The sequence below is a fragment of the Homo sapiens genome, chromosome 3, assembly GCF_000001405.40.
Source record: "Homo sapiens chromosome 3, GRCh38.p14 Primary Assembly".
Lineage (NCBI taxonomy): Eukaryota > Metazoa > Chordata > Mammalia > Primates > Hominidae > Homo > Homo sapiens.
This window is the reverse complement of record NC_000003.12, coordinates 45,253,648-45,268,583: the sequence shown is the minus strand read 5'-3', so window position 1 is coordinate 45,268,583 and position 14,936 is coordinate 45,253,648. Positions and strand designations below refer to the sequence as shown.

Sequence of the window (14,936 nt, the reverse complement as noted above, 5' to 3'; positions counted from 1 at the left end):
TATATGCATGTGTATATGTACATATATAACCAATCCCCTGAGGATATGGAGGAGATATATGGATAGATAGATATAGATATAGGTATAGGTATATGCAAAATCTTCATAGCAATGAAATGGTCTGCAACAAAGCAAAGTAAGAGAATCACCTGTGATTCAGAAAAGCAGGAGGAACCTGAGCCTTTGAAGGTAAACAAAGACCAAGCCAAAAAGCACTTCACAGCTTGAGATCATCTTTAGGGAAAAGTAGCCTAGGATTTTTTTCATAGGGAAGCAGATAGTAAGGGGAAGAGGTAGGAATGAACAGTAAACCAAGCCTTAGACCTGAGCAGTAATAGATCCAGAGCCACAAAATTTTGCACAAATCCAAGCCTCGGAGGGGGTTACACTTTCAGGAAAGGGTGAAGTTAAGGGTATCCTACCTAGCAGAGGCTGACTTCAAGAAACAGTGACTCAGAATCAGTTCTGGCAGAGGAGGAAAAATGAAAACTTCTCCTGAGATTTGAAGGCAAGTGGCCAACCCTCCTCTAGGTGTGATGTCTGAATGTACACTGAAATATACCAAAATATCCCAAGATAAGAATTTAGAAGAACCTAGGTCCACAGTGCCCAAAGCTCCTGACGGAGGCAATCATGTACGCACAACACAGCCCTCATAAAATTCCTACTGGAAAAGTCCCATCATAAATGAGCTCATAATGTAAAATCAGAAAAGGCCCAAGTAAGCAAGCCATCATGAGTAAGAGTCAAAAGAAAAAAAATTAGAATTATTAAATATAAACTATGATTTTAATACGATTAAGTAAATAACAGAGATAATTTGAAAGTAAGTAAGAAGCAGGAGCTTATAAAAATAAGCAGACATATTAAAAAGAACCAAACAAAGCTTCTGGAAATAAAGAATGTAATAGAAATTAAAATATCTGTAGAAGAGTTGAAAAGCAAAATAGACACAACTGCAGAGAGAACCTGTAATTTCAAACGTAGATCCAAAGAAAATACACAGAATGCAGCTCAGAGACAAAAAGATATGGAAAAGTCTGGTTAAGAAAATTAAATGATGGAGTGAAAAGGTCCAATATAGATCTAATCAGGGCTCCAAAAATAGATAATAGAGAGTGCGATAAGAGGTAATTTTCAAAGATATAAGAGCTGAGGGTTTTGCAGAATTGAGTAAAGACATAAATCCCCATATTTAGAAAGTTTTTGAAACTCCCAGACAGGATAAGTCATAAGGTGGACATACTCAGACACATCGTAGTGAAACTACAGAATGTCAAAGACAAAGGGATGATCTTAAAAGAAACCTGAAGAAAAAAAAGACAGATTACTCACAAAGGAGCCAAGATAGATCAAATTTGACTTCTCAACATCAAACATAGAAGCCAGAAGAGAGTGGAATAATGTCTTCAAAGTGGTGATAGAAATAATTGTCAACTAGATTTATAAGCCTAGCAAAACCATGTTTCTAGAATGAGTAAAATAGAGACATCTTCAGTAACGTAAACAGTAAGAGAGTTTGCCACTGACAAATCCTCACTAAAGAAACATCTAAGTGATGTACTCCAGGAAGAAGTAAAATATCCTAGAATGAAAATCTAGGATCCAAGAAGAATAAGCTGACAGGTGAAAGTGATTTTTCCCACTCCACCAGACCCTCCCTGAATCATTACTTCCTTCCTTCTGCTTTGGAGCAGATTGCCCTTCACTTCCTTGCCCACCTGGAAAATACCTACTCTTCTCCTAGGAATCACTTTTTCTGTGAATCCCTCTCTGGATCCTCACCTAGAACTGATGCCTCTTCCCCTTGAACCTCCACTGAACTTTTGGGATTTTTTGTTTGTTTGTTTTTTGAAACAGGGCCCCACTCTGTCGCCCAGGCTGGAGTGCAATGGCGCGACCTCGGCTCACTGCAGCCTCCACCTCCTGGGCTCAGGTGACCCTCCCACCTCAGCCTCCCGAGTAGCTGGGACTATGGGCACACACCACCATGCCCGATTATAATTTTTGTATTTTTTGTGGAGACAGGGTTTTGCTGTGTTGCCCAAGCTGAGTCTTGAACTCCTGAGTTTGAGCAGTCTGCCCACCTCACCCTCCCAATCCACTGAACTTTCTATGAAGTTTTAGAATACTTTCCTTCACTTATTTATCTATCTTTTTCCCTTCCTACACTGTGATCTTCTTGAGGGAAAACTTTAAGATGAATCTCTATATCCTCGGCTTAGATTATCACTATTAACAATGACTATTTCTTGGTAACGGGAATTTTACATCAACAAGCTCATTATTCTCTAGAGAAAGAAAAAAATCAAATAGGATTCTAAGGCTGATGAAGGATGGAAAAAAAAAACAAAACAGATGACTGCAGCGGGGAACCAAAAGAGGAGTGGAAAATTGGGAACTCTTAGACGTGGTGATACCCGGGGAATGAAACTGGGCACAGGAGAGGAGTGGTGGCAGATGAGTTTTCATTTTAGGCCTTTCTAGTGGTTCAACTTTGTCTCGATCAAGTGTATATGTTTCTTTAATAACCACAACAATAAAAATTTAGCAAATTGTGTAAAACCAATTTAGAGGACATCCTCATGAAGCGGGACCTGTTAAGTAAATTGTAATTTACCCACGCTGTGTATACTGTGCAGCATTGAGAAAGGGAAGGTAGCCTGTACAGAAATGGAAAGAGATCCATGATGTTATGTAAGTGAAGACATTTTAAAAACTAAGTTGATGACCAGTATGGATGTTATGATGCCAATTGTGGTTTTTTAAATCTCTATGAATATGTATATCATCCGACTCAGATCATTTTTTCTTACAAGTGGCAGAGACTCAGCTTTTAAACAAGAAAAGGACATGAATTGGTTCCTACAATTATAAAGTCTGGGGGAAGATCTGGAGCTTTAACTGTAACTCGATCTAGGGGCTCAAAGAGCTCTAGGCTCAGGAAGACAGCACGTTGCCTCCAGAGTACCCCAACAGTTCTGGGATGGAGAGGGTGGCCCAGCTTGCATATGGGCTGGGGGAGGGGGATGCTCTTGGGACCAGGCCTGGGCCATATCCCAACCCTTGTCCCAGGAGGTGGGGTCGGTCTCCCTCAGTTGAGTCTCACAGACTAAGCAAAAATGTGAGCTGGATGGGTGGTGGTCCCCAAAGAAATTGGGTTATTGTTTCCAGGGGAAGGTAGAATCGATTTTGGATGGATTAACTCAACTGATGTCTACCATATACACATACGTCACTTTATCTTATATGACTGGGAAAAGCTCTGGAAGGAGACACTTAAGCTTGGATTAGTGGAGAGGAGCAAGTCCCCTTTTTGAGAGGCTTACACAAACCCAGGGAATTACACATTACTGTACCCCTGACACTGTTCCTTTCCAGGGTCAGTTGTCACAAAACTATCTTGTTCAAAAATTTGGGGCTGTAAGTGGCAAAAACCCACTCAGATGGGCTTAGGCAGAAGGTAGGGGAAAGTTGCTAAAAGAATCCAAGGGTCCCACAAAATGCTCAGACTGTAGAAGAGAATCAGACACCATTCTCCCCAGCTGCTGGCGGGAAAGACAGAGGCCGTGAATGACTGCCACTCTTTCCTCTTTTAATTTTTTTAAGTTGACTTTATTGAGGTATAATTTACATACAATCAAATGCACTTTTTCTTTCCTTTTTTTTTTTTTTTTGAGATGGAGTGTTGCTGTGTCACCCAGGCTGGAGTGCAATGGCATGATCTCGGCTCACTGCAATCTCCACCTCCAGGGTTCAAGCAATTCTCCTGCCTCAGCCTCTTGAGTAGCTGGGATTACAGGCATGTGCCACCACGCCTGGCTAATTTTTGTATTTTTAGTAGAGACAGGATTTCACCATTCTGGTCAGGCTGGTCTCGAACTCCTGACCTCAAGCAATCCACCTGCCTCGGCCTCCCAAAGTGCTGGGATTACAGGTGTGAGCTACTGTGCCCGGCCCAAATGCACATATTTTAAGTGTATAGAAGGGTGAGTTTTGACAAATGCTTACACCCATGTAATCACTACACCCCCTCAGAGTTCCCTCAGGCCCCTTGCTGTCCAACTCCCCTCACACCCTGCCCCAGGAAGCCATTGTTCTGATTTCTACCACCTTAGATTTGTTTTGTCTTTTCTAGATCGTTGTAAAAATGAAACCATACAGCATGTCCTCTTTTGCGTCTCTCAGATGCTCTTTTTGGATATCACAGGGTCCCTGGGCTCTGCATCTCTCTGCAGGTCTTTGCTGTTCTCTCTTTGCTCACTTCCTATCTGTATATGCCCATGCATGGGGCCAAAGGGGGACACCCCTAAATCCCTTTGTCCTTGTCATGTGACCAAGAGTGACCTACCTCATTTCTCAATGACAATCTAAATTTCTGAAAGGTAAGATTTAAGGGTCCAGCTCAGGCCATGTCAGGCTGTGTGCCCACCAGCTCTGGCCAGAGGAGCAGGGTCAGAGCAGACACAGGAGACCACAGGGCCCATCCTGTCGGTGCAGAGGTGGCTTCAGGTCTTGGAGAATGAGGAACGGTGAGCAGATACCCCTGAAAGAGTCCACCACACTGAAAATTGCTTCACTGTAAGTGTCTGGTGGACAGATGTCCTCTACTGCTAACTAGAAAGGTGGTTTAGAAGCTATAATCAGAAACCATGTTGATGGAAAAGTTGAGGCTTTGCTGAAAATAAAAAGCCTGATGTGTCTTCTTGGGCAGCTCCAGGGCCCTTTCATTTGGGCAGGAGAACAAGAAAACCACTAGTTACTAGTAAGTACTTGGCATAGGCTGACTCATTACTCCTCATGTGAGTTATATGAAGTGGGCACTAGTACCCCATTTCATATATGGTAAAAGAGGGGCTCAGAGCAAGCCACTTCGCTATTCACAGTGCTGTCTTTTCCAGGGAGCAGGCCACAGGAGTGCCCATGAGCAATCCTCAGACTGTCCTTAAAAAAAAAAAGGGAAAAGAAAAAAAGCAGGCCTGAATCAGCTTCAATAATTAAATGATACTTGTTAGCATCACAGAGTTCTGCCCCTAAGACAGGGCAGAGGGGCCCCTGGAAGATGCTGAGAGTAGGACATTCCCATCACCCACCTCGACCGTGGAAGCCTCTGATTGTTGGGTTGACCTTGAGCCATGCAGTGGCCCACCAGAATCACTGGAGTGAATGAGCCACTTCTAGAATGTATTTCAACGGCAAACTAGCTGACCTCTGGAATACAGTCCTTTCAAACCCTCCAGATGCTGCGGAGGGCCTGCTGGAGGCGGCCAGGTAGGGTCTGGCCTCACTGGCGTGGATGCTCTGGCTGGCAGCAATAGGCCAGCACAGCAGCCTTTCACCTGAGGCCCCCTCTGGGGCTCCCTCCTGCCCTACCCTTGTATGTTAAGCTGTGCCTAGGACAACTTAGTAGAAGGGAATACACAAAACAGTTTAGTGGTAGTACTAAGGGAATGGGATTTTGAGTTACTTAAAAACTTTTCTGTGATAGGATTATTATTTTTATAGCTAATTTGAATTTCCCCAGCCCTTACTAAACTAGAGAAACAGGTTGAGGGTCAAACTAGAAGTAATAAGTTGCACTGGTTTGGACGCCTAACAGATCGATGGATTTATAAGTGGTTGCTTAGACAGCTATATTGTAATGTATTTGAAGCCCCATTGAAGCTCAGAGGCACAGAACACTGAAATCAATTAATAATTTCTGCCAGGGCAGTAACAGTATATGAATTTTGTATTTGTCATTCCAGACTTAGAGACTCCAGTTTGCCTGGCCTATTATTATTATTATTATTTTTTTTTTTTTTTTCAGACAAAGTCTCACTCTGTCGCCCAGGCTGGAGTGCAGTGGCGCGATCTCGCCTCACTGCAAGCTCCGCCTCCCAGGTTCATGCCATTCTCCTGCCTCAGCCTCCCGAGTAGCTGGGACTACAGGCACCTGCCACCATGTCTGGCTAATTTTTTGTATTTTCAGTAGAGACAGGGTTTCACTGTATTATCCAGGATGGTCTCGATCTCCTAACCTAGTGCCACCTCAGCCTCCCAATATGCCGATTATTTTTTAAAATTGAGGTATAATTAGCACACAGCAAAGTGCAATGATAGGCATTCAGCTTGATGGATTTTGACAAACGTCTACACCCCTGGAACTACCACCTGAAACAAGATAAAGAACATTTTCACCAGCCGGAAAAGTTCCCTTATATCCCTCTTAGTTAGTGGGCCCCAGCCACATTCTGATTCCTATCACCCTAAGTTTTGACTGTTCTTGGATTGCGTAGAAATGAATATGGACTCTTGTATCTGGCTTCTTTCATTCAGTATGATGCCTGTGAGATTCATTCATCTGATTGCTTATATTGTTAGTTCTGTCTTGTAAGTTGCTGAATGCATTTCACTCTATGGAAAATGTATTTATCCTTTCTCCTGTTGATAGACATTTGGGTTGTTTTCAGTTTGGGGCTATTATGAATAAAGTTGCCTTTGAACACTGAGATACACATCATTTTGTGGGCATGTGTTTTCATTTCTCTTGAGTGAACATCTAAGAATGAAATTACGGGATTGTAAGGCAGACATATATATGTTTAGTTTTGTAAGAAACCTTCAGGAAATAGTTTCCCAAAGTGAATTTACTGGTTTGCATTTCCACCAGCAGTTGCCCCACATGTTCACCATGTGGGTGTCACTGCAATTGCAGCCATACTGGTGGCATGAATGGTATTTCACGACAGCTTTAATTTTCATTTCCCTGGTGACTAAAAACGTTGAGGCCTGTTTCATATGTTTAGTGGCTACTTGTATAGCTTCTTTTGTTAAGTGTTCCTATGTGTTATTGATTATTAAGATAGTTTTATCCTTAAAAGGAAGTGTATGGGAAGCTCCTCCGTGGAGTGGGATCTGGCTTCCATATCAAGTTTATTTCATTGTCGTTTTGTTGCTGCTGAACTCAGACTCCCATGTCTGACTGCCTGGATCTCTCGCCTCTGGTAACTGGGTGCCTTCACTTCCTGTGCCTCTGGCCCTGTGAGCTCCCTGCTGCTGGAGCTCTCCCTCACTTTGCCTTGAGAGGCCACTGTCTTGAATTTTGCTTCCATCCTGCCACAAGCTCCTGATGGCCCTGCCCTTCAGAGCTGCTGTGCCTGCCACTTGGTGACCACCTCACAGTCCCAGCTCTGGCTTGTCCAGCCCTGCCTCACCTCCTGGCTCCCCTGCCAGAGCCAGGCTTTAGGAAGTGGCCACTCTGGGAAGTCTGTGGGTTCAAAGGCATTGATTCGGCCCCCTTTAATAGCAGCTGCTAAAGTAACATGGTGATCAGTAGTCTGGTTGTTGGGCTTGGGCTTTTTCCCTAAGTACGTAGCTGGTACTTTTTCCCTAATGAAAAATAAAAATATAAACTATTTGTCACGATTTTCAGCAGAGGAAGAAAAATGTCTGCAACCTGAGCAGATAAAAGTGCCATCTTCTCTTCTCACAAAGCCTATCGTTGCCAAGTTCACCGCCTCTTTCCCCAGCACTCTCCCCATGCATTATTTCTTAATTAAGATCACTATTTTAGTTGTGGAGGATCCGTAATGATGGGAATAGAGCTTGCATCTCTGGTTTGTCTCACTGAGATGCGTTAATGGCACATTCTCCTGCTATGTGCTTCACAGGGAAATGAATAAAATCAATTAATAACCAGGGCTTTTCCTGCCATGCATCCAGCAGCCTGGCATGTCCAGGCTGGAAAGACAGTGGACACAACTATCAGAGTACCAAGGACCAAAGCCATGAGGGGTGGGGGCGGGGGACAGTGCCGTAAATTTGCTTGGCGACCTGTTTCCAGGATGCACAAAGGTGTTGGATGGTGGTGTGACCTGGGCTTAGGTTCAGCTGTGTCATAAACTGACCATGATCAGGCCAACTCTTACTCTCCTCCACCCTGTTTTCACCTCTGTAAAATGGGGATAATGATGCTTGCCTTGTCCATTCATGCATTCAACAAATAAACATATTGAGCCCTGTGCCAGGTGGGGATAGCACTCAAACAGCACAGACACCATCTCTGGTTTCGTGGAGTGGGCACTCTGGGTGGGGAGTCAGACATTAGAATCAGGAAGATAGTACCACGTGAGGAGTGTTACGATGGGGAATATGAGGAGCTATGGGAGCCTAGAGGAAGGGCACTGTGTCAGTCCATTGTGCGTCACTGTAAGGGAATACCTGAGGCTGGGTAGTTTATAAAGAAAAGAGGCTTCATTGGCTCATGTTTCTGCAGGCTGTACAGGAAGCATGGCACTGGCATCTACTCGGCTTCTGATGAGGCCTCAGGGAGCTTCTGCTCATGGCAGAAGGTGAAGCGGGAGCAGCACATCATCACATGGTAAGAGAGGGAGCAAGACAGAGTGGGAGGTGCCAGGATCCTTTTTCAACAACCAGATCTCATACGAACTTATTGCTGTGGGAAGGGCACCGAGCCATTTGTGAGGGATCCATCCTCCGACTCAAACACCTGGATGGCCTTTTGGTGCTGCCAGGCCCTACCTCCAACACTGGGGATTGCATTTCAACAGGAGATTTGGAAGGGACAAATATCAGACCATATCAGGCACAAAGCCAGGCATGGAGGGCCGGGGAGGACTTCCAGGGAAGGTGGCATCTGAGAATTAGTTAGGCAAAGAGATGTGAGAAGAGCATTCTGGACTGGAGAAAGCATGCATGGAGGGAGGGCTTCAGTAAGAGAAAATGCAGAGTGTGTTAGGGAAAAGCTAAAGGACTTACAGAAGACTGGGTGTGGGAGACATAGTGGGTAGAGAGAAAGGAGGACTGGAGAAAGCTAAGCAGACACCAGGTTTGGGGGCTGTTCTGAATACCTGGGGAGATAATGCATGTGAGAAATCCTTATAAACCGTGGAATGCTGTGCAAACATAAGGAGTTATGACAGCCAGCCTCCCAGAAGGGGCTCCAGGGGGCCTTACCACCTCCCAGTATTCAACCTTATGTAGTCCCCTTCAATTCTGAACCAGGGTTAGTCCCATGGAATTGCTAGAATTTGCGGTGGGAGCAGAAGAGTATGATTTTTGAGGCTAGGTCATAGAACCTACCTTGGTCTCACAGACCCCTCACTCTGGGGAAAGCTGAACTCCATGTGATGGGGTCACCCAAGCAATCCTGCAGAGAGGCATATGTGAAAAGGAACTGAGACTCCCACCAATACCCAGTACCAGTTGGCTCCTATGATCACAGCCTTCAGATGTCCTCAGCCCCAGCTGACTGCTTGACTGCAACCTCATGAGAGACATTGAGCCATAACCATCTGACCAAGCTGTTCTCCCAATTCCTGATTCACAAAAGCCATTAGAGATTGTCTTGGGGGAAAGGTACTTACCCCCAGAGCTGTGTGCTGTGACAGGCCAGGCCACCCAGACATTCAACTTGCTTATCCTTGACTCAAAAGCAAGAAGAGACTGACTAGTTTCTCAGACCCACATTGAAATTCCTCACTGAGAGAAAAGATGAATTCTGCAGCTCCTGGTGCAATCAACTGTGACTGTTGGAGATGTACCTCACTCCCAACACAAACATGGCTGCCACCCCTGTGGACATGAAGAGAAGGGAGTTCTCAGAAAAGCAGAGTTCCTAGGCTGTGCTAATAGCCCTGAAGGGTCTATTACAGAAGCCAAGAACATGGAAAAACTTGGAACTTCTCTCCAATTTTCCAGAGCCATGGAGCAACACATAAAAACCTCCTCTCTTATTTAAAGCTCCTCTGACTTACAGTTAAGAAGACAATTTGCCCAGAACATTCTAGCTGTTAAGACAGGATGTCTCACTCATTTTTGCTTTTTGACTCCTAATTTAATGTCCCCAGTGAGCTAGCTCTGGAATGAAAAACTTCCGCAATCCTGTTTTTAGGGCTTTCTGGGTTCCTGAGGATGTTTTAACATTAATAACATCAGCTTGTAGAAATGAACTTTGGTTCTAAGTCTAATAGGGCTGCCCCTCACTGAGTGCAGCAACCAAGGTCACCGCTGGAGGAGAACCCAATCCCCACAGCCCTTCTTGCTCAAGATTCCTGATGCAACGCATCCCCTGCTTCTGCAGAGTTTCTTACACTTCCTCTCTGAAAAACTGCCCACCCCTTCCCTCCTTTTCATTATCATCCCAAAGCATTTACCAAGTGCCTGCTGTGTGTATACTCTGGGTAAGAGAAAAAAAAAAAAAACACCTCACATTCTGCTTGCAGGAACTAAAAGGAAAAAACAAAACAAAACAAAACTCAGAGTTCTAAGGTCAATAACAAAAAGAGCCATGGACAGTGTACAGAAGTAGAAGAGATAGGGCACCAAAAGGCCGTGGAGTACCAAAGCTGGGATGGAAGCTTTCTAAGCCTTCTCATGATCTCAGAGGCAACATAGGATTCTATGTAAGTATCATCCCTAATAGCTGGTCCCTCATTCATACCCTCCCAAGGCACGTGTTAAGGCACATGGGTCCCTCCACTGCTGTGACAATTCATGGTCAATCTGCAGGGTATAAGGAGAACTTTGCCCCTCCAATCTAGCTCTGTCAGCACCTCACAAGGTGACTAGGGAGAGACAGTTGCTTCATTAGTATTTCCAAGAGCAGACATTGTAGGGCACAACCATGGAGGTATGCAGCAGACTATATTTTCCAAAAGTGGCTGCAGCAATATTTTCAGGACCATATGCTCTTCCAGAACCTTGCCACTCCCCCATCAAGTGTAGAGTCTCTTTCTTTCCTCTCACCTTAAACTTGGGATGGGCTTTCAGTTGGCCTTGATGAAGAGAAGGGGCTGAAAGTGACACTTTCTGACCGCTGAGGCTGGGTTAGAAAAGGCCTCCACCTGGCCTTCTCTCATGGGATGCTTGGCCCCAGCCAAGATATTATGAAGAAGCTCAGGCCATATGAGAGGCCATGTGTAGGTGTTCTGGCCAATAGCTCCAGCTAAGGTCTCAGCCAATAGCATTAACCACCACACTCATGAGTTAACAGGCTTTCAGATGTCAGCTTTCACGGTCAGGTCACTCCCAGCCTTTGAGTCTTCCAGCTGAGCCTCTAAGACAGTGTGGAGCTGAGGTTGCTTGTGCTCACTGTGTCCTGTTCAAATTCCCGACCTAATGAATCCATGAGCCTAATAAGGAATGATTGTTGTGTTCCATTATGTTTTGGGGTAATTTGTTACACAGCAATAGGAACAAGGTACATAAGTTATTTTATTGAAGTTCAGGTGGATTTAAATAGAGCAATGGAATGGCAATGTTTACAAAACTGTGCCATCCTTCCTCCCCTGTGTCCCTGGCATCTGGCATTCATAGTGGTATCCCAAAGGGATATCATTCTTTTTTTTTTTTTTTTTAATGGAGTCTCACTCTGTCACCCAGGCTGGAGTGCAGTAGCACAATCTTGGCTCATTGCAACCTCCGCCTCCCTGGTTCAAGCAATTCTCCTGCCTCAGCCTCCTGAGTAGCTAGGATTAGAGGCGCGCGTCACCATGCCCAGCTAATTTTTGTAATTTTAGTAGAGACGGGTTTCATCATGTTGGTCAGGCTTGTCTCGAACTCCTGACCCTGTGATCTGCCTGCCACGGCCTCCCAAAGTGCTGGGATTACAGGCGTGAGCCACCGGGCCCGGCCTCACCGAAGGGATATCATTCTTAAAGAAGCATAGTGCAGACAAGAATTTTAATCTTAATTCATGTTTCTTTCAAAAATTTAAGGGAGTCCAACTTAGGCCATAACAACTCATTAAAGTTTCTTGTTCTCTATTCTCAAGCACCCTAAAGCTCCTAAATCTGTTTCACCCTTCTGCTCCAACACCACTCTCTCATCCATGCTGTCTTTCCCCACCATCTTGGTTCCTTGAACTTTTTTCTGCTAATGCATTTCTACATAACACACTCCTTTGAAGGTGCACAGTCCTAGTATGCTCAGCAGCTTTGGGCACCCCTGTTATGCCATGATGGCCTTACAATAGATAATCCGCCCATATATATTTTTTCTTTTGGTCTTTAAAGCTAGAGAAGGAAAAAAAAGTGACCTAAGAAAAAAAACGAAATCTAAATAGCCTTGTATCTATAAAAGGATTGAATTTACGAATTTTTAAAAAGCTACCACAAAGAAAACTCCAGGCTCACTGGTGAATTCTACCAAAAATTTAAAGAGAGCCAGCGTGGTGATTCATGCCTGTAATCCCAGCACTTTGGAAGGCTGAGGCAGGAGGATCACTTGAGGCCAGGATTGTGAGACCAGCCTGGGCTAAACATAACAAGACCTTGTCTTTACAAAAAAGGTTTTTTTTGTTTTTTTTTTTTAATTAGCGGTGTGTAGTGGTATGTATCTGCAGTTCTAGATACTTGAAAGGTTGAGGCTAGAGGACTGCTTAAGCCCAGGAGGCTGAGGCTGCAGTGAGCCACGAACATGCCACTGCACTCCAATCTGGGTGACAGAGCAAGACCCTGTCTCAAGAAAAAAAAAAAAAAGTAGGGAAGCAATAATGTGAATCTTACATAAACTCTTTCAAAAAATAGAGGAGAAGGGATTTCATTGTATGAGGCTAGTATATCCCCAACATCAAAACCTGACAGAGACATTAAAAAAAATGCAGACTGATAGCCATCATGAACCTAGACAGAAAATCCTTTTTAAAAAATTGGTATATCAGCTGGGTGCAGTGGCTCACGCCTGTAATCCCAGCACTTCGGGAGGCCAAGGTGGGTGGATCACCTGAGGTCAGAAGTTCAAGACCAGCCTGGCCAACATGGTGAAACCCCCTCTCTACTAGAAATACAAAAAATTAGCCAGGTGTGGTGGCAGGTGCCTGTAATCCCAGCTACTCCAGAGGCTGAGGCAGGAGAATCACTTGAACCCAGGAGGTAGAGGTTGCAGTGAGCCAAGATAGCGCCACTTCTCTCCAGCCTGGGCAACAAGAACAAAACTCCGCCCCCCTGCCCACCACCACAAAATTGTATACTTTCAGGGATCATTCCATAGGTTGTTACTAGAGAAGTTTTTTTAGATGTGTAGAACACTGGAAACCACGAGGAGGAGGCGCAGCATTCTCTCTTGACCATGAAGCCGGCTCTTGGTGTTGTTTCATTGCAACTGTCATTTGCCATTGATGATCGTTCTCTTCCTCTGGGAGAGTAAGAGGGAGAGGACACAGTTTGAGTGGTTCCCATTTTATTTAAAAAAAAAAGAAAAGATTTTTTTAAAAAATTGGTAAATCAAATATAACAATGTGTAAAAGGATAACATATCATGGCCAAGTGCAAGATTTATTTCACGTGAAAAAGTTAACCAATGTACTTATTAGTTATCTATTGCCATATAAAGGAATCATCTTCAAAATTTGGCATCCTAAAGCAATAAACATTTATTGTCTCACTGTTTCTGTGGGCAAGAAATCCAAGTGATATTTAACTGGGTTATCCGGCACAGGGTCTGTCATGAGGCTGCCAAGTGTAAGCTGAGGTGGTGGTCTCGTCTGAAGACTACACTGTGGGAGGGTCGGCTTCCAAGATCACTGCATCTTGCTGTTGGCAAGATCCAGTTCCTTGTGGCTGTTGGACTGAAGCCCTCAGTTCTTTTCTGGTTTCTGGCCAAAGGCCTCCCTCAATTCCACGCCACGTGGACCTCTCCACAGTGCAGCTCACGACATGGTGGCTGACTCTTCTCAGAGCAAATGAGTAAAGGAAATCACACAAAATGGAAGCCACAGTCTTTTTATAACTTAAATCTCAAGAGTGACATGCCACCATCCCAGCCACATTGTATTTGTTATAAATGGGTCAGTAAATTCAGGTCATTCTCAAGGAGAGGGAATTACACAGAGGCATGAATACCAGGAGGAGGGGATTACAGGAGACCATCTTGGGGGTGGCCAGCTACGTAGTAATGCATCCCATTCACAGAGGAAAGGAGGAAACACGATCAGATCATGAATGAAGAAAAAGTATTTGACAAATTCAACACTCATTCATAGTAAAAACTTCTGGTAAATTATGACTAGAAGGCAACTTTCTTAACCTTATAAAGAGCACCTATGAAACACTTAAAGCTAACATTATATGTAATGATGAAAGAATGAATGCTTTCCCCTAAGAGCAGGAAAAAGGCAGGGATGTCTGCTCTTACCACTTTTATTCACCATTTCCCTAGAGGTCATAGCAAGTTCAACAAAGTAAGAAAAATAAATAAAACCTAAAAATATTGGACAGAAAGTAGTAAAACCATCTCTATTTGTAGACAATATAATTGTGTATACAGAAAATCTTGAGGATTTTTTAAAAATGACTAAAACTAGTAGCTGAATTTAGCAGTCACAGAATACAAAATCATATACAAAAATCACTTTTATTCAACTATACTGTTATAGACAATTAGAAAAATTTTTAAATATATACTGTTTATAAAAGCATCAAAAACATTAAATATTTAGGAATAAATTTAATGAAAGATATGCAAGGACTCCCACTGAAAAACTATAAAAAATGCAGAACAAGGCCAGGCACAGTGGCTCACGCCTGTAATTTCTACACTTTGGGAGGCCGAGGCAGGCAGATCACCTGAGGTCGGGAGTTTGAGACCAGCCTGACCAAAATGGAGAAACCACGTCTCTACTAAAAATACAAAATTAGCTGGGCGTTGTGGTGCATGCCTGTAATCCCAGCTACTTGGAGGCTGAGTCAGGAGAATCTCTTGAACCCGGTCGGTGGAGGTTGCAGTGAGCCGAGATCACGCCATTGCACTCCAGACCAGGCAACAAGAGTGAAACTCTGACTCAAAAAAAAAAAAAAATTTCTGAACAAATTAAAGATTAATGAACTAAAGAAGAAAAGTAATCACATGATCATTTCAATAAAGGCAAAAAGTCATTTAACCAATGTCAACAATTTTTTATGATTAAAAATCTAGTTTAGAAAACTGGAATAAAA

The 14,936-nt window shown here is 43.8% G+C and overlaps 1 non-coding gene across 1 annotated transcript; it reads left to right on the top strand.

The window, feature by feature from the left end:
* Positions 1 to 12,963: 12,963 nt before the first annotated feature.
* LOC124906378 (small nucleolar RNA U3) lies at positions 12,964 to 13,175 on the top strand. Its single transcript, XR_007096342.1, has one exon. It is a non-coding gene; the product is annotated as a small nucleolar RNA U3 (small nucleolar RNA).
* Positions 13,176 to 14,936: the final 1,761 nt, after the last annotated feature.